This window comes from Homo sapiens, chromosome 1, assembly GCF_000001405.40.
Source record: "Homo sapiens chromosome 1, GRCh38.p14 Primary Assembly".
Taxonomy (NCBI): Eukaryota; Metazoa; Chordata; class Mammalia; order Primates; family Hominidae; genus Homo; species Homo sapiens.
The window spans coordinates 216,928,866-216,952,866 of record NC_000001.11 but is presented as its reverse complement, the minus strand read 5'-3'; the positions used below and the strand labels follow the sequence as shown (position 1 = coordinate 216,952,866).

General features: G+C 39.1%; 1 protein-coding gene across 41 annotated transcripts in view, besides 1 other annotated feature; it reads left to right on the top strand.

Annotated features, from left to right (window-relative positions):
* Nucleotides 1–24,001, top strand: part of ESRRG (estrogen related receptor gamma) — a 634,457-nt gene that overhangs the window by 184,836 nt on the left and 425,620 nt on the right. For 37 of the 41 annotated variants that reach the window (XM_017000625.2, XM_017000622.2, XM_017000637.2 and 34 more), the window contains one exon: nt 13,194–13,285. The exons of 3 other annotated variants lie outside the window; for them this stretch is intronic. The gene's annotated coding sequence lies outside the window, so the exon portion shown is untranslated. Of the gene's footprint in view, nt 1–13,193; nt 13,286–16,167; nt 16,206–24,001 lie in introns of those variants that run through there. One more of the 41 variants, NM_001243512.1, reaches the window with a different exon arrangement.
* Nucleotides 15,226–15,395: an enhancer, noted in NCBI's record as "experimental_4410 CRE fragment used in MPRA reporter constructs". NCBI's record gives its function as "activates a minimal promoter by MPRAs in K562 erythroleukemia cells, with activity observed for both the introgressed and non-introgressed 1:217110899 variant alleles {active_cell/tissue: K562}" and the evidence as "EXISTENCE:reporter gene assay evidence [ECO:0000049][PMID:34662402]".

The following is a 24,001-nucleotide window of genomic DNA, read 5'->3' as shown; positions in this document are numbered from 1 at the left end:
GACTCTTGGTGGTGTCCATGTGCTAGTAGCTGACAGTAAAACAGTGCCAGGAAAGATCTGGGGGCTCAGTTGGAAATGTTGCAAGAAGTTTAAAATTATTGACAATAGGAGCTGTTTCTGGAAGACTGATGATTCTAGACATACTAAGAAAAAATAACCCTTTTCTTTGTTATGCATGTATTTTTAACCAATTTTGCTATCTTGCATGACTCTCAGGATCCTCTCAGAAGGTGGATATAATGACAGTGACAAAAATTCCAGCAGCTATTTTTGCCAAGAATAAATTTTGTGTCTGTTTCATAGTTGCTACTACCATCTTTACTGGTTAGGTTGCCACAGGAGGATGCCATGGGGGAATAATAACAAACCTAGTGCTCTGTCATATCTGAATGGGTAAGATTCAGGAATGCAATAAGATCCCTGACCATGACCACACAACTCATTCATCATGGGAATATTTATTAGGGATCCTGTCCTTGTAAGGCTGTGGCTTCCCGTTTCCACGCTGCCCTTTGCAAAATATGGGCAATTAGCTATGAGGGCCACTATCTCTTCTACACTAAGCCTTGAACTTTGGGGCCAGCACTGAGGGGAGAAAACAAATCACCCTTTCCTGAAGAGGTTGTAGAAAGTCTAATGTGAGAGCAGTCACAGGTTTGAGAGGACAGTGTTCTGAGCCCCAAATCAGCATTTGAAAGTTTTCGGGTTGTGGTATATAATTTGCCACTCAAAGACCAGTGGGGGTGTTGGCAAGGTGTGGGGCAGAGATCGTTTACACAAGTTGATTGATCAGATGTGGCCATCACTCTAGCTGTTCTACTGATGATATTTAGATTGTTTGGATGCAGGTTGTGTATTTATGGTAAGAAGTGGCCAAAACATTAAGGAATTCAGGATGTGTGTTTCTTTGTTAATTAAAGAAAGAGTAGGAAATAGAAGTGCAGAACCTTTATGTATATATTATATATATATATATGCAAACATATGTATATATAGTATGTGTATATGTCTGTGTGTGTGTTTTCTTATGCAAAATACTTAACAAGAGTCAGAATTCTGTAACAATTATTTAAGCATATTTAATGCAAGCTTTTATTTTTTGCTGTATACACACACACACACACACACACACACACACACACACACACATAGTGATAGTTCCATTATACCCATTATTATGCTATATAGTAGTTAAATCTGGGATTCTAGGGCAATGAAACATGAGGGTTACACTATTTTGGTGCTGTTTTTAGTTTTCATTTCTACTGGAAAGTGCTAAATTAGTAGCATTTTGTGATTCCTGATTTAGCTCTTTTAATAAGAAGCGGAAGCTAAAAACAGCCCAACCAAGCAGTTGAAGTCTTATCACAAGCCCGTAAGATCAATAAGCTAAAAAAAGTATGAAAGTTTTTGAGTGACAGCTTAAAAATGGAAAATTTAAATATATATCACTGCCTTCTGCTCCATTGTGTAATGCATAAAGCCCATTTTGGCAGTACATTTTTAAGCAGTCAAGAAAGTGATTTATTAGTATCACTGCATTTGTGTTTATGTTCCATGCTATAAACTATGCTTATAGCAATATGTCTGTATTAAGGCATTAATACTAGGAGCGCTACCTAAGCTTAATGTTACTAATATTGTTCAAAGTATAGTTTATTGGGCTATAAATAGTGACATCAGTATTGACACTTGCTGCATCATCTAAGTCCCTGAATAAGTTGTGTCTGATGCTAAATGAACATGCTGCTGTTGACAGGATATAAAACATAAATAGTGGATACAAGTGATATTTCATGGCTACTGCTGGTCTTTTCCACTCTCTTTTGATCTGCAGAGAAGGAGTTCTGTGTGTGCTGAGACCATCATAGATTTTCCCAGTGTTTGTTAGAGGATTGTAATTAGAAGATATCACATCTCGGTTTTAAACATGCTCATTTCATGTGACCACTAATTTTAAACTAAATTTCACGGTCAGTGTCTCATGCAAGTTCTATATTATGACACCTCTCAATAGGTGGATACTCCATATATTTTTTTAAAAATAAGAGAAATGTGCTTTCAGAACAGGGATACAACTAAGAATACGAATTTCTGAAAGAGTTTTTGAACATCTTCAATAATTGTGTAAAATGGTCTATGTCACAAATAGATAATCATTGCTTATAATAATAGACAAATAAAATATAGGACAGTCAGCAAATCAGGAATTGAGTTTTTGTTTAACCTTTTGCACTCAACCTAGGTCTTTACTTTGATATGAAGCTGGTTGATATTAATTCATTTAACAAGTTTTAATTGAGAGTTCACTACTATATGGTGGATGCTGTTTCCATAGACAAGTATTTTCTAAGCTTGATTTCTTTTGTTGAAAATCAAGGCAGTATTTCAAGTCTTTTGAATTTCACCAGATACACTCTCCTTTACTAAAAGCTATAAACAACGAAAAAACTCTTTCTTAAAAGTTACCTTCAGAATAGGGGGCAAAACAGTCACATAAATCGTGAATTTCCTAATTTATCTAGGTGTTCCTACTTTACATTGTAAAGTCTAATGACATATATTAAGTTTTGAGTTCATTAGAATTGGAAGATAGTCATCTCTAGTAGTTCATTCAACATACGATTATGGAACACCAATTATGGGCCAGAAACCACGTTGCTCTCTAGATAATAGTAAATGAAGCACATTCCTTATCCTGAAGACATAGTCAAATAATACCTCATTTTGCTGAAGTAACTCAAAAGAAGTAAGGGCTGGGTGTGGTGGCTCATGCCTATAATCCCAGCACTTTGGGAGTCCTAGGCAGTTTGATCACCTGAGGTCAGGAGTTCAAGACCAGCCTGGCCAACATGGCGAAACCCCTTCTCAACTAAAAATACAAAAATTAGCCGGGTGTGGTGGCATGTGCCTATAATCCCAGCTACTTGGGAGGCTGAGGCTGGAGAATGGCCTGAGCCCGGGATGTGGAGGTTGCAGTGAGCTGACATGGCACCACTGCACTCCAGCCTGGGTGACAGATCAAGACTGTCTCAGAAAAAAAAAAAAAAAGTTTGGAAAAAGTCAGTTCTTTCCCCTCCCTAAACTAGTAAAAGAGAATAATCAAATGATAATGATGAAACACATTTTTGGTTCGTTTATAATTTCTTGCTCATTTGTTGTAGAAGATGACAGAGACAAGCTCACAGAAATGTCAAGATATTCATGTACTTTCCTTGCCTTTTTCACCTCAAATATTGTAATTTTTTTGAAAGTGATTAGGTGGTGACAGGAAAGAGACCAGTTTAGGTAACACTTATGATCTCAGACGTTAATATCATGGGTGCTAACTATGATGTACATTATTAATCTTGTTAAAAATGAAGAGAAGCAAGCATTGACTGCCTTTCTTTCTGTTGAAAGAAGGTTAAGTACAAAGTGGATAGTGTGCCAGGAGAGGGGTAATGATCTCATCCAGAAAACCAGAAACACATGCTTATCTTTTCAAAGCCATAAAAGTTTGTGACTTGATGAAACCTTTTATTCTCCCTTAAGAAACCTTCAACATTATTTCACTTATTTTGCAGTAAATAAACCTGTGCCTTTGCATGTTTGCAGATAGTGGCCATGTGGTTAATGTAGAGGAAACAAAGAATGAGGGAATCACCAGGAAAGTTTTCTCTCTCCTTTCATCTAAATCCAGAAGGAGGGAGCTGGAGATGGATGTGGCTGGTCAAAACAACCCAGTGGGAGAAGCCAGTTAAAACAGGAAACATAATAAATTCTAGAGCTTCAGCATGGTGAAGGTGTTGGGAAGGCAGAGCGCTCTCTTCTTTCCTAGTTGATTCACTGACAGCATCCAGAACAATGCTGAGCCCAGGGGAGAGGCCTCCTTCTCCCAAAGTATGCTGAGGTCCCATAAACTAGAACTCAAAGTGCTCTAAGCTTATGTTCTTGTTTTGGGGGCCCTAAGTAGATCCTTGAAAAAGTGCACCAAATGGTGTCAGAGTGAAGGCAGGAAATCCAGGGACTTATGAAATCCAGTGGTTTTTCATTAATTCCTCAGTGCCTTATTTCTTAGTGGAAATATTCAGCTTTGGTCTAAAAAACAGCTAAAAACCTTATGCAAAGAGCTTGTAAACAAACACCCACTTGAACCATCTGGTTTTGTAACACATACAAGTGATTAAGCCTCAGAGCTATGATTGTTAAATTTTTGAGAACACAACAATCCCAAATACCCCCAAATAGATTCCTTATACCAGTTTATGGGGGGAGAGGGGGTACATAATACTATATATAGTAGATAATCTGGAAATATTAGCTAATAGTCATTAGCTAATGACTATTACCTAATATTAGCTAATATTAGGTCCCCTGTTTCTTTCTTTCTTTTTTTTTTTTTTTTTTTGAGATGGAGTCTTGCTCTTTTGCCCAGGCTGGAGTGCAGTAGTGCCATCTCGGCTCACTGCAATCTCTGCCTCCCAGGTTCAAGAGATTCTCCTGCCTACACCTCCTGAGCAGCTGGGATTACAGGCGTGCACCACCAGTGATCCACCCGCCTCTGCCTCGCAAAGTGCTGAGATTCCAGGCATGAGCCACCATGCCTGGCCAGGTCCCCTATTTCTTTCTTCCTAATCTTGACCATTCCTCATCTCCAGATTTATCATAGTAGCTGGTGGGAGGAATTGTTGAAAGAAGAGGGGAAAGAGAGTGTTTAGTTACAGCAGTGGTGGTTGGAGTATCAAACAAACTCCCAAATATTTGATGTTCAAACATAATAAAAGTTAATTTTTCCTTCACATAAAGTTTCTAATGGGTATTCCTGATTGGGGTGAGTCTCTTTCAAGTGATGATTTCAAGGCCAAGCTCCTTCTATCTTGTGGCTTTCTGACCTCAATACACAGCATCCACAGTTTCCTGTATCTATCATCTGCAAAAAAGGAGACCATATGGGATATTGTTTGGGGGAGGGTTTTATGGACCAAGTATGGGGAGGCTCCTGTCACTTCTGCTCTCTTTCCATGGAGGAAAACTCATCTCATGACCTTATATAAGCTTAAGAGTGGCTGGAATATGGTTAGCTGTGTGTCAAGGAGCAAGAGGAACTGCTGGTTAGTTTCCATGGCTAAAGGAAAGGAGGAGAAAAAGATGGGTGTTAATGAAGGACACTATGGATCTTTTTATTTGCTAAGAAGGAAACAATGAAAGAAAAACGCTTTTCAGTGATGTGCTGGTAAACTGGCTCTTCCAGGGGGAATAAAACCACCTCACCTGATTTGTATTGTTTGCCAGTTTCCTTGGTGTAAATACTCACGTACAGCCCCAGCCCTAGAAAGCTAGAAATAAGCCATTGTAGCTTGTCATTTTACTAACTAATTCTGAAAAAAATACATCTGAGGAAGCCCGTTTATGGGAAGGAAGTAAGCATGCATTTTGACTTTGGTATTTGACACAAGGAAAGATTTACTTTAGAATGAATCTCTTTATCATCTGAAAAACCATCAACATGATATATTCGTATCAACCACAGATGTGGGCATACAATTTTGAGTCAGAGAAAAATAGCACCAAGGGCACAGTGAGTCAAGGGTACCCATCTGGCCTGAATCCTGGGTCATGCTCAGGCAAAATGTAAAGCGCCTAGAACCACTTTCCAAAGAGTGTACCGAGAAGACAGATGCCACTTCTGGGATATGTATATTTATATTTTTCTCTTGGAATTTCATGTGATTGTTCCTGTAATCATTTTCCAAGAAGAGGGAAAGACTTGGAGATGAAGTGGATAATGGTGATTAAAAAAAATAGATGCTAAGGATAATTTCTCTGTTTCTGATTATAAAAGAAGTTGGATGTTGGTGTCACTCCCTGTGAGAGAAGCAAAGAAATCAGGCTGGGTGTGGTGGCTCACACCTGTAATGGCACTTAGGGAGGCCGAGGCGGGCAGATCACTTGAGGTCAGGAGTTCGAGACCAGCCTGGCCAACATGGTGAAACCCTGTTGCTACTAAAAATACAAAAATTAGCTGGGCATGGTGGTAGGTGCCTATAATCTCGCTACTCAGGAGGCTGAGGCAGGAGAATCACTTGAAACCAGTGATCTGAGATCATACCACTGCACTCCAGCCGTGGTGACAGAGGGAGACTCCCTAAAAAAACAAAGAAAGAAAGAAAAAAGGAAGAAAGGAAAGATATGGGGGGAGGGTGGTCTGTGTTTTGAGAACACAACGTTAAAATTTAAATGGATGCTCAGATCTTAATTGGCTAATTAATCGACATTATTAGTAGACCAATGGCTGTATATCCTTTGGAAATTTTCACTATTACTTGTCAGCTTTTGCTGGCCAAAGAATCAGACCCATGTAATGATCAGTTTGATTTGCTCTTTCCATTCTGTTTGATCCATGCAGATGTGGGTGTGGTGTTCCTGAATCATGGTGTAGTGGTCCAGATAGCTGGTCAAGACATGCGAGGGCCTATGCTGCAGCCCAGTTTATTTTGTTGTGTGTGGGTTTGTTTTCAGAAGTGTTAAAGATAAATAGCACCTCTCGAACCGATGATTACTCTGAGTCTTCACTGTAAAGGCTTGGAATTTCCTATGAGGTGCCTGTTGCTTGGTTTTACTTGGGAGGGTTCTGATAGCATCATGAAGACTGTGGTCTCTCTACAATTCATTTGGAACACAAGCTGAGGCTGATCAAAACCTAAAGATGAATTAGATCTCTGATTTCTTGGTTCTAGTTAGTACTGGTTTATTTTACGTCAATTGCTATTTTTGGAAAGTACTAAAACTGGTAATGACAGACTTAGGTACTGAGGTTTCTCAAAAAGTTAATTCATTCATTTAGTAAATAATGAGCTGTTCCAGGGAGCAGCTCTCCTCCTCCCATATTTCCTTATGATGGTGAAAAGTAAGCTCCTCTGAAACTAACTTTTCTCCTGCCAACCATCTCTATTGAATTTTTCCTTAACTGTGGTCTGCCAAAAAAACAGAACTGAGGCTTGGCACACCAGTTTTGATCAGACCAACCATCAGAATCATAATGTCCTAAGTACAAAGCCCACTAATTGAATTTCATTCACTGGACTGAAATACAGCAGCCAAGGCAGAGAACACTGTCGGCTCTTTTTTATGAGGTGCAGAGTCTAAAGTCATTTTTTAAATGTGAATGATGCAATTTCTTGTATTTTTCATTTAAAATGCTACTTGGTAAACAGTGTTTCAGATTAGCGTATTTGTAATTTAAATGAAGACAGTACATCAAGCTGAATCTGAAAAGAAAGGAGAAGTTTGCAAAATGATTCATTCCTCTTTTTGTGTGATCTACTGTAGAAAATAATAAATAAATAGGTATAGAGAGGGGAAGAAAGATTTGTGGATTTTAGGAGACAAAATTGAACCATTTCTAAAAGAGTCAGTTCCAATAGCTAAATCTTTGTTTTCTTCAAGCACACTAATAAATTCTGCCTAATTCATTTTTTATTTTCTCTCGGGGTCTGCTTGCAGATTTGCCTCAACAAAGGAAGCATCATGTTACATCTTTTAAATAATTGATGGCTCTCAGTTCAAGCCAGCTTGAAGGAAATTCTGAAAATAGGTACTGATTGAGCAAATGCCTCCTTCCTTCCCACATTCCCCTCCTCAGCACTCTCTCTTCTCATCTTTGTTTAACAAAACCCACTTTTCCCTCCCCTTTTGTTTCTTTGCCTCCTTGGTTGAGAGCAGAGGGTGCTTTCATTTGGGTTTAGGCTTTAGCTAATCCTTGGTATCGCTCTCATTTATTTCACATCATTCTATTTATTAAAGATAGGGGGAGCTATTAATTATAAGCTGACTGATCTAATGAAGAGCTTTTAATTAATCATCAGAAGTGTTATGTCATAATAACCACTGGAGACGGTTTGTTGGAATTATGAAAAACCTGGGCTTAGAGCTTGTCCCTCTAAATTTGCAGTGTGTTATTCTCCAACTGTCAAATTACCCTGGAAGCTGGGTCAGCTGCAGCCTTGCCCAGCCGTTCCTGTAGGTTCTAATACTGTGAGTTGATCTCTGTTATTCCCCCAGAGAGAGAAAAGCATCTCCATTTTACCTCACTCTTGGTGTCATTAGCAATTGTCTAAGACTTGGAAAAGCCATTACCACTTTCAGGCAGATATGGTTGGTAGAACATTAGACTGGTCTATTGTGATTCTGGCTTCTAGTCATGACTTTGTAAGTCACTTTGCCTTACAGGACTTCCCTTTCCTTACTGGTAAAATGAAGGCTTTGGAGTGCATTACCACCAAGATCTTCATCAACATAGCCTTCTTTCATTCTCCAGGGAAAGGGATGATAAACCAAGAAGAACTTGCACTGCATTTGATTTTGGGTGCATTAATAGTATTCTGACTTTGAATGAATGGAGATCATGTGCTCCTTCTTTATTAACCTTCCTGTTTCTTTCCATCATATTTCTTTTCTCTTAATTTTTCATTTATGTCTTCTTCTCTTATTTATTTCCCTTCCTTTTCCTTTCTAACTTTCCATGTTTCCAGCGTTAAAGTGGAAGGAAAATGATTGGCAAAGTGCTAGACTCAAGGATCTTGGCCAACTTAATGAAGAAATCTCTTATTTTAAAAATATTTTGTCCTCACAGAAAAGCTTCCTCCGTCAGAGTTTGCATCAGAAAGTAGCCAATATTATTGAATTTGTGAAGACTAAATATAGAGTGGCAAATATCGGGAGATCTAAATCTGGAATTATATGCTTGACCTCAGTTTAACTGGAGGGAGCCTTACATTGTACCCATCACTGAAAAAGCTGTATCTAAATTGATGGATTATTTTCCACTCTCAAAACTATTTCATAATCTTTGAGGCACTTTTCTTTTCAAAAGATGCATCACATAGATTATATCATGACATTTTATCTCTTAATAGAGCAAGTTTCCTGGCAGGGGGGAGCTGAAGTTGTCTTTGCCCTACATCTCCCCAGCATCCAGTAGCTTGCTTGTATATCCTGTGCCTGCCCAAGATAATCCTGCCTGATTGCCTTTATTGAAATCCTGAAAAAAAATCTTCAAATAATCAAACCCCCATGAATAACGTATGGTAGGGGATCTAGAAAGCTGAGGAATTTCTTCTGTTTATCTTTTCCTGGCTGTACGCTAGGGTTATCTTCAGAATGACTAAAGGAAATATGTGTGTTTCCCCTTTTAAAAATCTTTACTTCTGCTATCCATTCACTTTTTGAGAGTATATGCTGTTCAGGCTTTTGTATGTGTGTGTAGTAAGTAGATTACAGGTAAACCCTCACAGTAAGATATACTCCTAAGGTTTTGGAATTCAAAATGTGTTTTTCCCCAAGGACAGCTGGGTGAATGGTTGAGTTCCACTGTCATGCTACCATGTTTCAGGAATATTATGTGCCAAGTGGCTTCTCCTTTTATTGGAATATCTATTCTTAGAACCTGTTTGAGACCTGAAGAACAGATCTTTCTTGCTCTGTATTTAGAGAGGCAATTCCCCTTCTAAGAAGGTTCCTGCAACAATGCAGAGGCAGCTGCTGGTGATGGTAGAGGGTGATGGTAGGGATGGTGTAAGTCCTCTTGCCTTGGGGTCACTGACTTTGTGAGTGAAGGGATACTGGTAATTTAGTTATCTATATTTGTTTTAAAAATATTCTCTGGGATAGGAAAGAGAATCCAGAGGCTTTCTCTTCCTCTCTCATACTACACAACCATGGTAGGGCAGATCATTCACGTTGTAATGCATGTGAAAAGTACACCCTGGGAATCTTGCAATGCAAAATCCAGGCAACTGCACTTGATGGTTCTTAATCCTGTATTTTTTTTTGTAATAAGTTTATATGCCCAATCTTAATAATTAGTTGGGCATAGGATAGGCAATCATCAGCTTACAAAACAGTTGTGAGTTGTGTGTCAGTCTACATTTTAAAACTGGTTATTCAAAAACAAAAATTGATAACTGAGACCTAATTAAACTAAAGAGCTTCTCCACAGCAAAAGAACTATCAAAAGAGAGACAACCTACAGAATGGGAGAAAATATTTGTAAACTATGCATACTACAAAGGACTAATGTCCAGAAACTACAAGGAACTTGAACAACTGAACAAGAAAAAAACAAATGGCCCCATTAAAAATTGGGCTAAGAACATAAACAGACATATCTCAAAAGAAGACACACAAGTGACCAACAAACATATGAAAAAATGCTCAACATCACTAATTATCAGGGAAATACAAGTCAAAACCTCAGTGAGATACCATCCTACACCAGTAAGAGTGGCTATTATTAAAAATGAAAAAATAACAGATGTTTGTGGGGTTGTGGAGAAAAGGAAACATTTATAACTATTTGTGGGACTGTAAATTAGTTCAGCCTCTGTGGAAAGCAGTTTGGAGGTTTCTCAAATAACTAAAAACAGAACTACCATTCAACCTAGCAATCCCATTACTGGATATATACTCAAAGGAAAAGAAATTATTCTGCCAAAAAGACACCTGCCCTCATATGTATACCACAGCACTATTCACAATAGCAAAGACATGGAATCAACCCAGGTGTCCATAAGTTGAAGACTGGATAAGGAAATGTGGTACCTATAGAATATGGAATACCATGCAGCCATAAAAAAGAATGAAATCATGTCCTTTGCAGCAACGTGGATGCAGCTGGAGGCCACTATCCTAAGTGAATTAACACAGAAACAGAAAACCAAATATTACATGTTCTTACTTACAATTGAGAGCTAAACATTGGATAGAAACAGACAAAGATGAGAACAATAGACACTGGGGACTCCAAAAGAGGGGAGGGAGGGAGGGGATCAAGGGTTGAAAAACTTTCTGTCCGGTACTATGTTCACTGTTTGGGTGACAGGATCAGTAGAAGCCCAAATCTCAGCATCGCAGAATATACTCTTGTAGCAAACCTACACATGCACCCCCTGAATCTAAAATTGAAAATAAAATAAAACAAAATAAAACTGGTTGTTTGGAATTTAGAATATTTGCAGACAAGGGAAAAAATGAGATAAATAGTAGTGCATTTCCTGGGTTACCCACAAAATTCTTCTCAATCATATTGTTACTGAACTTCTAAAGGCTGTTTACAATCTTTTTCCCCCCATTCTTAGTAAATTACCTATAGTATTGAATAAGAAATCTTTCATCTGGATTAGTTGTCACCACTTAAAACGAGATTTATCTGGGGAAATGTATACTGCATTTTGTAATAAGAGGAAATCATAGGGGTAACAGGAACTGATTCCACACACCCTTCCAATGCCCCACCGTCTCCCCTCGCCCACAAACCGAATCTCCTGAGGTGAATGCCTCTGCTTTGAGATAGTTGTTGGTGTGGGATCAAAAGGAGAACTGGTTCCCAAAACCATTGTTTTAACATTAACGTTATTTCAAATTTTCAGCCATTTCAGAAATGGGAGTATGACAAGTTGTAGAGTTTAAATGTTAACTTGAAATCTACGGCCACACTGGCTATGAGCATTAGCAATATTACACAGAAAGCAGCCATATAACTGTTGAAATCAGCACCTGAAGGATTTTTCTTGATTCAAATCCTGTTTTTGTACCTCCTGAGTCCTGTGCTTTCTTTTTAAAAAAGCAACAACCTAAATTAGGTCTTCTTGGGCTTCTGACCCTCTAGTGTCAGTTAAGTGGGTCCTCTCCTAGTGTTTCTTTATACTTATATAAATTACAGCTTTTTAACAGGCTCTTATCTTCACAATCCTAGAAAATAAATAGGGTTGGATTCTCACATTTGAGTCATCTTACCTCCTGTCTCTCTCATGAGTGTGTTTGAAACACCATCCTAGTTTTATGTGTAAAGCACAGTCCTTTCTTGATTCTAGACCCTGTCAAATTCCAGCCTACACTAGAAACCTCCTCGTTCTCTTGTCTTAGTTGATCTTCAGCTCACTTTATGCAAGAAATTATTTTAAAATGATCCCTTTGTTTTCTAGTATTCAAATAGCTTCTGTTTAGCATTACAGTAAATTACCAAGATATGATTCCAATTGCTGGGTGTAGGGGGAATTTGGGATTGAAACCTCAATCTAGTTTATTTGTCAAGCATTTTACTTTTAACCTCATTCTTGAAAGAAAGCGGGAAAGCTATCAGTCTGAAGGGTGTCTTTAGTGAATAGATTTAGAGGTCCCTCTGAGGGTCTTCTAATGCAATACAGGCATCTCTTTGAGGTGTTCACTCCCCAAAGTCTACAGTTACCACATTCATGCCTCAAGGGATGTGATGCAAAGTGGCCTGGTGCCACCCGAGTAATTATTTTCTCCACATCTTTTACTTAATAAATTGCACCAGGGCATGCACCAAACAAACTGTCAGGGGCATTCCAGCCTCCTGTTGGTCACAACCTTCTCTTCTCCCTTCTCACCCCCTGAGCTGCAAGTTCGGCACAGAATTTCCCCGGATATCCAAGGGATTGCTTTGTTGCTCTGAACAGTCTTTTTATATTTTAGTAAAGATATGAGAAGCATTAAGTTAAATCATATGGAATTGCCATTTTTGTAGGTTGAAATTGATAGAATAACAGCAACTTCATGAGGTTCAACCCAGTAGCTTCCTTTGACAGACATCTCCCTAAAACATCATTAGTGTATGTTTAGTGAAAACCCACTTGGAGTTTATTTAAAATAGAAGCTTCAAGTTTTTCCACTTAGAAAGCTTGAGCCTCTCTACTCGCTCTCTTGTGTTTTTTTCTGAAGATCAGAGAAATAGGACACAAAGCCTTCACGTTTGGAGAAATGCATACATTTTGAGACTAATGTGAAGTAAGTAAAAAGTCCCTTGGTCTTGGAAGAATTTTTTTTTTTTCTGAAAGTTATATATGGGTATTATAATGGAAAATGCTTTGAAACCCTAACCAGAGCATTTGCTATAAATAAGAGAGGAGCAGAAGATTAATAAATCTGATAAAGCTGAGAAGGAAGAAATCTTAAAATAAGAAATGAGGACTGTACCTTCGTTGGAGTGTTAATACAGCCCTGAGTGTATGTGTAGGAAAATCAAAGACTTGCTAAAGGCAGAGCATACTAAGTCATAGCTATTAATGTGTGCTTAACTCTATTGCCTGGGAGATTTTATTAAATGCAGCGGCCGAGAAAATTGACCTTACTTTTTTTTTTTTTTTTCCTTTTTTGGGTTGGATCCTTGCTCACGTCACATAAATGAATAGAGCTGACAATTTACTGGTTCATCAATGAAACAATATTAAATTATGAAGATGTAAGGAAAAAATCCTACGCTAACACTGTCGCAGTTTGAAAGGTAAGCTGCTCCCTACAAGATTAGGAGATATTAACATTCTTTTAAAATCTACATAACATAATGCCACGTGATACACATTAGAGGGTTAAGTGTCCTCTTGACATCTTTGACTACTATTGTGGTGTTGGCTAGTATTTCATAGTAAGGTATAATGTTTTCCGCATTCTGCCTTTTAAAATGTAAAAACATCATTTTAAATGCCTTTAAAGTGTTTTTTTTTTTTTTTTTTTTTTTTTTTGTCTATGTGTAGGATATTCTGGAAGATTGGACTTTACCAAGTATGTGTTGTAGTGATCATGTAGGTGCTTTGGAAAGGTTTTGCCCTTGTTTCTATTGATTCACTATACTGACCAGTAAGCTGAGGTTGTGAAAGTCAGACTATTTCTTAATTCTTGTCTTTCGATGGTGCCTAAGAAGTAAAATATTACTCTTCTTTACGTCTTGTCCTGCGTTTAAGATAGGGATCCTTCTCTTTCTAATTCTACCTTCTGTGAGCTTGCTAAAAGTTCATGGTATCCATTAGATTCCAATTGAATACCCATTTCTTTCTAGAGATATCTGTCTACTTCACTCCATTTTTGAAGGGAAATTATGTAATACTAACATTCCCAGGATACCATCCATTAGTCAATTAATATCCTAGACCCAGGTCCTTCACTTGCATCCATGAATTCTGTTGTAGTTGTAATGACTATCATACGAGGATCATAGCATGTAAAGATTCTTTTGTTGGAGAGTGTCTGTGCATTCATCATACCCTCACATGGGTTTGTAACTCAGGAAGGATGAAGAGCCACTGCCTCCTCTAATGCAGGATCTCTGATGTATTAGTTACTCTGAGTTCCTGCTGCAGAGGCCAGTGCAGAGTAGGTGCACAGGAATCCCTGTGCACTCACTGCCAATGATGCCTTTCAATGGTACTTGCTAGTGAACCCTTTGGAGTAAGGCATATTTTTGAACAGCATTCAGCAGACTCCTGCTTCAGTGTGGAAAATGGCACTTTAGAAGTTGAATTACCTTTTTCATGGCACCCAGGTTGCTTAATTTGCAAATTGAGAGTAATGTAGTCAGCGGGAGAATATGTTTTCATGTTTGAAGTCCATTGGAATGAATTTGGCGTTCTCTCTTCTCCTTCAGCTTGAACTATCATAAAATGGAGTTCTGGCCCCAAATCATTCAGTTACATGATTCTGGGATATCATCTGTTGTTTTGCGTAGCATCGGTTTAGTTTTAAATATTAGTGATACCTACATCTACTTCTCACGGACTACAGGTGTGCCCTGCTTTCAGAAAACTTGGATATGCTTCAAATTCATGCTTACTATGCCATTGCAGGAAGGGGCAATGATTTGTACACTAGAAATAGATTGACTTTAAAAAATAATTTATCACAAGATTCCTTTAAATAACCAACTCTCTCAGAGCATTTAAAATATGATTTGATTTGAAAAATCAATAGCTACATGCTCAACTTTTCAAGAACACGTCTGCTTTGTAATGTGAGGCAGGTGAAGGCAGGGGCACCGAGCCACAAGGAATGAGGGTCTTAAGTGAGCTGAAGAGGAATTAATTTTAATTTAGAAAAGAATTTGCTTTTCCAGAGTTTCCCAAGAAAAACACCTTCACCTTTATCACCTCCAGAGTACGTAAAGAAAAAAAAAAATAATAAAGCAGGCCAATTTCAGTTTGGAAAAGGTAAATCTATTTCTTTGGTGGGTCACATTCTGCATTATGCATGTGTGTAAAAGTGAGGTTTGCTTTGATCCTGACTATAAAAAGTTTATTTTTAAACTCAGACTGGGCAGGAATCCAGCGATGCTCTTTCCCCTGCAACATCCTGGGTTTCAGGTCCCCAGCCTGGCAGAATGCAGCTAAGCAGCAGGAAGTAGTTGAAGAGTGTAGAGACTTGATGGGTGCTGAGGTTTTCTTCCCCCCTTCCTCCCCTCCATTTTTGAAATTCAAATTGAATGCAATTTTCAGCTCATTTGAGCCAGAATATACTGTTGCTGAGCTTCAGTGGTTCTTAAATTCAAACTCACAGGAGAAAACAGATATCATCTGTCACAGAGGGTGGGAGAGAGAATACTCCCCGCATTTATTCACAGGAGGCAGAGCTCTAGTAACTAATTCAAACCTTTCTGACTAATTGACTAATGACCCACCTGCAAACTTATCAACTAATCAATGAAACCTTTAGGACACCCATCTTATGTAGTCTGGGAGTAGCTACCCCCTTCCTTTAGAAAAAATTGTTCAAGCCTATTTTTATATCATTGGTACTTTAATACCTTTTTGGCAAAACGAGACAGAATATCACGGCAATCTTTTTTTTTTCTGCTCTTCCTGACTATTTTTATTGTTTCCATCTTTAATGTCTTTGTCAATTCTATTTATTTATGACTGAGAATTAGCAGAAAGCTTATGGCTGGCTAAGTGGAACAAAAAATTTGAGTTTTTTTTTTCTTTTTTTGTTACTATACAGAGTACTTGAAAAATATCTTTCTTTCTTGGGGGCAAAGATAAGTACCAATTACAAGGGAAAAACCCACTCCTACAGTTCTTGAGTTTGCAAGTGTGGCCAGTCTGCAGGGGGGATGTTTCAGGATGGCTTGAGAATGCCTCTCGGTTAAGTTCTGCCCCTGGGTATGTGCCCAGGGAATGCAAATAGATTTGAGCAAATAACAATCTGAAATTTCTCCTTTGATTTCAGAAAGGGTGCAAGGTGGCAATTTTGATTCTGAAATGTAGGTTATATGATTTACTGCTGATGCTTGTCCTTGAGTGTTTTAATATAAGCCAAAATTTACATGGGGATATGAAGGCCATTAGCTGTCTCTTGCTGTTTGTCTTCTTCTCCTTCTTCTTTTTTTTTTTCCTCAAGGTCCGTGAGAGAAAAGTTAATTATGATGTTATTTCAAAGTAAGTAGAAGTAAAACAATTTGATCTCTAAATACTATTTTTAATGAAGTTTGTTCATAGCTATCATGCTTGGAGTTTAAAATTGTTTTACATAAAGTAAGTATATGGTCTGGCTATATATATTTATATTTATACTCGTGTGTGTGTGTGTGTTTGTGTGTGTGTGCGTTTACCCATCCCCAAAGTCTCTAAGAAGGTGACAGCAGGAACATCCAAATGGTGGTCATTTTCACATTAATAGTCATCAACCACTGTATTCTGTTAATGGTAATATGCTTGTGAATTAGATCCTTCATAAAAGACATTTCATTTCTTTTATAAGAATGATACTGACATGCTAACTTGTTTTCTCATGATTATACCTCAGTACAAGTACGACAACCATATTGTTGTTTCTTGGACACATGGTACAAGAAGCCAAACATCTACTATGAGGTTGTGATTTATAAAAAGAAATATATATTTGTTCTTTGTTGCCCCCACAACACCCCCAACCTTCACATTCCTGACTACAGAGCTCTTTATCCCTTGGAATTTCCTGTTTGACAGGAGTGTCTTTCATTCTATTGAGGTGACTTTTGGAGGGCTCCCAAATGGGTTCTGGTCACCAGAAAAAACAAGCCATGATTACAAGCTTGGAACTTTCAACCATACCCCTCATCCTCCAGGAAGGGGAGAGAAGCTGAAGATTGAGTTAATAATCGACCATGCCTACAGGATGAAGCTGCTATAAAAATCCCTAATCTGGGCCAGACACGATGGCTCACACCTGTAATCCCAGCACTTTGGGAGGCCGAGGCAGGCAGGTCACGAGGTCAGGAGTTCAAGACCAGCCTGGCCAACATGGTGAAACCCCATCTCTACTAAAAATATAAAAATTAGCCAGGCATGGTGGCAGGTGCCTGTAATCCCAGCTACTCGGGAGGCTGAGGCAGGAGAACTGCTTGAACTTGGGAGGCAGAGGTTGCAGTGACCCAAGATCACTCCACTGTACTCCAGGCTGGATGACAGAATAAGACTCCATCTCCAAAAAAAAAAAAATTCCTAAACTGTGGGATTTCAATTTGCAATTTCAGAGAGCTTCTGGATTGCTGAACATGGGGAGCTTCTGGGAAGGTGACATACCTGGAAAGGGCTTGGAAACCCCGTGCCCCTTCCCATATACCTTGCCCTATGCACCTCTTTATCTGGCTGGCTGTTCATCTGTATTCTTTATAATATCCCTTATAAATATAATAAACCAGTACAAGCAAGTGTTTCTCTGAGTTTTATGAGCTGCTCTAGCAAATCAATCAAACCAGAGAAGGGGGTTAAGGAAACCTCGAATTTATAGCTAAATCAAACAGCAGTTGTAGGTAGCCTACAACTTTCAGTTGATGTCTGAAGTGGAGGGAAGTCTTGTGGGACTGAGCCCCTAACCTGTGGGATCTGATGCTGTTTCCAGGTAGGGAGTGTCAGAATTGAGTTAAATCGTAGGACACCCAGTTGGTGACCACTGGAGAACTGACATGTGGGAAAGCAAAAGCAAGCCCACACGTCTGAACACAGAAGTGTCTGTGTTGAATGTGAGAGTAGGAAAAGCAGTTTAATTTTTCCTATGTTATTACACCTACATTGACCAGGAATCTACATTTTCAGCTAACTACTAGTTATTAGAGTTTTAGTTTTTCTATTAAAATATCTTAAATTTTCAGTTTACAAGTAATTACTGAGTGCTTACTACATACCGGCCATTCATTGTGCTAAGATTTATAATGTATAAAATAGTGGTTCTCTAACCTAAGTGAAGTGGACATTGGAGGTGAACTATCAAAAGAGTCACCAATACGCACTCTCCCAACCCTTTCTCTCAGTGGATAACCACTTTTTAAAAAACAATGGATATGGTTTGGCTGTGATCCCATCCAAATCTCATCTTGAATTGTAGCTCCCATAATTCCCATGTGTTGTGGGAGGGACCATGTGGGAGATAACTGAATCATGGAGGTGGTTTCCCTCATACTATTCTTGTGATGGTTAATATGTCTCATGAGATCTTGTGGCTTTGTAAGTCTCACAAGATCTGATGGCCTTTCTCTTAGCTCTCATTCTCGCTTTTCTGCCGCCATGTAAGACATGCTTTTTGCCTTCCACCGTGATTGTGAGGCCACCCCAGCCATATGGAACTGTGAGTCCATTAAACCTTTTCTTCAGAAATTACCCAGTCTCGGGTATTTCTTTTTATTTTTGAGATGGAGTCTCATTCTGTCTCCTAAGCTGGAGAGGAGTGGAGTGATCTTGGCTCACTGAAACTTCCGCCTCCCAAGTTCAAGCAAGTCTCCTGCCTCAGCCTCCCAAGTAGGTGGTATTATAGGTCCCTGCCACCACGTCCGGCTAATTTTTGTATATTTAGTAGAGACGGGGTTTCGCCATGTTGGCCAGACTGGTCTTGAACTCCTGACCTCAAGTGATCCACCCACCTCAGCCTCCTAAAGTGCTGGAATTACAGGCGTGAGCCACCACCCCCAGCCTCTGGTATGTCTTTATCAGCAGCGTGAGAACAGACTAATACACAAATATCATCTAACTTTGGGAGAAAGAGTTGGGAGAAAGGATGATACACAAAATAGTCAATAATAAGGTTAATAAAATACGCATACTGAGCTGCTAAATGTATAGTATTCTTCAAAATTGCTAACAGAATCGGGCAAGGAACGGGCCAGTGGGGTGCTGACATCCTGCAAGAAGACATTGCAGGGTTGATAGGCCAGGGGTCAGTGGAGGGAAGATGGGGGAGCAGACCAGGAGGGAGGCAAAGCTATAGTCCAAGGGAGAATGCAATTGAGGAATACAAGTGCAGAGCTCTTGAAGCAGAGAGTTCAGTGATGCACCAGAGCCTGTTCTTACTAAGAGAATCACTTGTTAAATTTCTAGGAATTTTGTGATCCAGTTATAATTTAATTTTCTTAAAAATTGAATGATATGAACATATAATAAGTCAGTATGTTAAAACCAAAAGTAATAAATACTGCAAATTAATCACTTTCCAATTATTCTTCTTCACCACATTTTGGTCTTATCCATGTTCTTGAGGTACGGAAAGTCTGGAATACTGCACTTCTCTGCATCTCCTCATCAGCTCCATGTTCACCATGTCATGTTGGTAGCTCAAATCAGCCATGGAGGGAGTATTTACACCACAGAAATTGACAGTGCCCCAAATTTTCAAACGAATTTTTTTTTTTTTCATTTGAGAGCCAGTTCTTAAAATTTACCAGATGAGCATGGGGTGGGAATAGAGGTGGGGCTAGAAAATTAGAAAGCCTAAGTGAAAAACTTTGAGAAGGCAGGGCTACATTAGAAAAGTGGCTCCATCTCATTAAATTAGGCCAATGGTTTATAGTCCATTTAGAAATAATTGGGAGCCGTTGTCTTCCTTTAAATACTTTTTTATTATAATTAGCATATATTGTCAATATAGAAAATTTGGAAAATGGGAATAACAATGACTATAATATTTTCTATATGTTGCACACTTTTTAAGTGCTTTAAATATAATAAATCATTTAATCCTGGAAACAGTCCTATGAGGTAGTTGCTGTTATCCTATTTCAAAGATGGAGAAATTGAGTTACAGAGAAGATAAAAGCTTTGGCCAAGTAGAAGAGCTGTGATTTGAAAGCAGGAAATGTTTTAATTCTTGTGGTCTTACTCCTGTAGGATAGTTATCTAGAGTAGGATTGCTAAGCCAAAGTGTATCTATATTTTCAATTTTATAAGAAATTGTCTGTGGATCTAAAAAAATTATATAAATTGGCTGGACATGGTGGCTCATTCCTGTAATTCTAGCACTTTGGGAGGCCAAAGTGGGAGGATTGCTTGAGGCCAGGAGTTTGATACCTGGCTGCATAATGTAGCAAGATCCTTTTCTCTACCAAAAAAAAAAAAAAAAAAAAAAAAAAACAAGTTTGGTGGCATGTACCTGTATCCCTAGCTACTCAGGAGACTGAAGTGGGAGGATCACCTGAGCTCAGGAATTCAGGAATTTGAGGCTGTGGTGAGCCATGATCACACCACTGCACCTCAGCCTCAGGGACAGAGCAAGAGAGACCCTGTCTCTAAACACATACACACAAACACACACACACACCCCTACCAAAATTGTGCGAGGACGCAAATCCTAGTTACCCATGGTTCTAACAGACCTTACTTTTTGTCAATTTATTATCGGGAAGTAGTATCTTACTTCAATTTGCAATTTTAAAATTATTAATGAAGCTGAAGATCTTTTACAATTTTATTGGTCATTTGTAACTTCTTTACATGGATTTACTGCCTTGCCAATTTTTTTTTCTATTGAAATCTTGTCATTTTCCTTCTTTGTTGAAACTTCTTGTGTACTAACAATATTAACCTCTTTTTCTTAAATGTGTTCTAAAAATGATTCCTTATTTTATTTTTACCTTTTTTTCACCCCCAAAGATGGAGTTTCACTCTGTCTCCCAAGCTGGAATGCAGTGGTACAATCTCAGCTCACTGCAACTTCTGCCTCCTGGATTCAAGCAATTTTCCTGCCTCAGCCTCCTGAGTAACTCGGATTACAGGTGCACGCCACCATGTCCGGCTGATTTTTATATTTTTAGTAGAGACCACGTTTCACCATGTTGGCCAGGCTGGTCTTGAACTCCTGACCTCATGATCTGCCTGCCTCGGCCTCCCAAAGTGCTGGGATTACAGGCGTGAGCCACCGCACCTGGCCTTATTTTCACCTTTTAATTTTGGTTTGAATTATCTTTCATGATAGAAAAGAAGTCAAATGTATTTATTTTGTGTTTTTTTTTTTTTTTGTGGTTTCTCATTTTTCTGTCTTGATTAGATTGGCTTCTCCTCTGAAAGAAAGAAAAATAATCTTTTTATTCTAAATATTTTGTATGTCTTTTCAACATGATCCCTGCTTCCCACAGCTCATAGACAAGTTGGAGAGATGACTGCAGAGCACAGGGATTTCTGCTTTGTGTGATCAGTGCAGTAACCAAGGGTGTTCAGAGTCCCAGGAGAACCCTGAGGAGGGCACCTGGGCCAATTGGGCCAGTTGGGAGGCGGGGTGCAGCTGGTCCTCCTGAGAGCAACATCCCAGCTGAACCTCTAAGGCTGAGGCAGCAGGGGTGGGAAGATTTCCAGGGGAAGGAAAGAGCAAGTCAGGGAGCTGGAAAACTTTGGGAAGACAGAGTCCATTTTCCAGAATAAGGAAGGAGCAGTTTCTCAGTGTGGGTCAAGGGAAAACATTTTTCATAGGAAGGGAGAATTATTTTCCTGAATTTCTCTTATTTTACACAAAGGGTAGGCCAGAGAAAGGTATTTTAAGCTGAAGACAAAGAAAGTTCTGAAGGTGAGGTTAGAAAAAATGAAATAATAAGTCAATAAGGGTAAGGAATACCTTCCCCCAAAATGATTAGGGATGGACAAGGGACAAGGATCCTCATATGAGAATTAGGAGAAACGTGCATGTCATCTTTAATATCCATGTACCTTCTCCTAGATGCTTTGGGACCAGACAGTGACAGGTGCCCCTTCACTGAACTTGGCCATTAGCCTCTCAACTTCCAAGTCCCACATCAGCCACACTAGAATAATATCGCTTAACATGCCAGCTTTCCTTACAAAAATCACATGAGTTCCCATTATCTCTGGTGAGATCTGTCCTCATTGGGCAGTTAAGCTCTCCACAGCATTATCCCATCACCCACTTCTAGTTGCTCTTCTTCACTTTAAAAATCGTAATCATTGTGGAACCTTGTGTGTTCTACAGGCAATGCTTCCCATTTGCAGTTCCTTCTTTTTGGGGCCTTCTCCATTACTCTTTGACAAGCTAACTGGAGTCCCATTTATCTTTCAAGGCTCAGCTTAAATGTCACCTCCTTCCTGCAGCCTTTCCTGACTCCTTGAGCTAGAAGAAATCTGGATGTTGAAGTGTCTGTCAGTACTATTTAAGACTCATGCTGAAACAACAATGTATTATAGTACTGTATTTCTACAGGTTCTTAACTAGATTGAAATTTCTGGAAGGACAAGAACTATGTCTTATACGTCTTTGCAGTTTCCAGGTCTTTAACACAGTGAAGTCTCATCCACCCTGACAAAGACTAGAAGACTAAACTTATCTCTAGAAACAGACCCATGGGCAGCAGAGGCAAGGGCAGAGAGGACGCCCACAGAATAAATAGAATGTAAAGTCAGTCTGAAAATGGGGGGTTGAAGCTTGAGGAGAGAGTAATTCTAAATAAACCTCAGAAGGAAGTGAGCTGGGGAATGCTCAGGGGATGAATAAATGGATCACCTGGTATTCATGGGGGAGGGCAAAGTTGAAGTTAAATAGAATGAATTGGTAATGAGCCATGTTCACATCTTCCTTTGCACTTGAGAACCAAAAAGCAATATGGATATAGAAGAGACCCAGAATATCTGAAGCAGAAGGAAGGAGGTTAGAAGGGAGATTAAAGATGCAAGAGAAAAATAAGGATGTGTGAGAAAAGGGAGAAGTGAGTCAGAGAAAGGTTCTTCAAAGGGGATGTGAGTCAGAAAGGAAGATGACATATTAAACTTGGCAGAATGTCCATGAGGTGAGGACAGTGGTGAGGGGTCTCTCCTGGACTCAGAGAGGAAGGATGTCCAATGAAATCAGGTGGTGACTAATAACTTAGATAAGGTAAGAGTGATACAGTATGGGTGTTAGGGGGTTTCCTGAGGGCTGGAAATCAGGTACGGTTTCTATGAGAACATGGGGAGGTTGATGGCAGGACTGGCATGGCAGTTGTGCTTGGAAAGGGATCACAGATGTAGCATTTTATAGTTGAATAGCATCATAAAGGAGGAAGAGACCTGGGGGGTCTGGTCCAATATTCTCATTTGGCATTTAGGACAAAAAGTCTAAAAGTCTTAATGCCATCTCCTAGGCCCCCTGTGGTCTGCACTCTGCCCACCTTTCAGGCCTCATCACGTACTTCTCTGCTTTCCTAAACTCCTGCAAAGCCAAACCACCTGTGATGCACTAAGCCTTGCATTCTTTTTCATTTCAAATGCCATTCTCTCTGTCTGGAATGTTCTTCTACATACTCCTTGTTTTTTTGCCCAACTCTTATTCAAATTCCAGGTCTCAGCTTAAAAACATTTCTTCAAGCACTCCCTCTCCCAGCTCCCCTCCACACACGCACTGGGTGAAGTCTTCATTATATGTTTCCAAGCATTCATTTCCTATGTTTAAAATTTGATGGGAGATGTATTGCCTTTTTGATGGCCCCTTTTCTCTTCTGGGTTGTGAATTCTATTGAGTCACATCTTTTAGTATTGTACTTGTCACAGAGTAGTTGCACAATAAATATTTCTTAAGGGAAAGAGGGAAGGAAGGAAGGAAGGAAGGAAGCAAGGAAGGAAGAAATTTGAGTGACCAACTTTTACCACCAATTGTTAACAGAGCCTGACAAGTGTCTTCTGAAACAATCAGGTGTGACTTGAACATTCACATTCAAACTTGGGAGACCAGTGTGGTTTTTTTTCCAGTATTTTTTTTTAACTGTGGTGAGAAAATTAACTACTTTAGCCATTTCTAAGTGTACATACAGTTCAGTGGCATTAAGTGCATTCCCATTCTTGTTCATCATCCATCTCTAGATATTTTTCATCATCTCAAATTGAAACTCTGTACCTATTCAACAATAATTCCCATTTCCGCTCTCCTCCTATCCCTAGCATCCCCCATTCTTTCTGTCTCTATGAATTTGACTACTCTGGGTGCCTCAAATACGTAAAATCATACAATG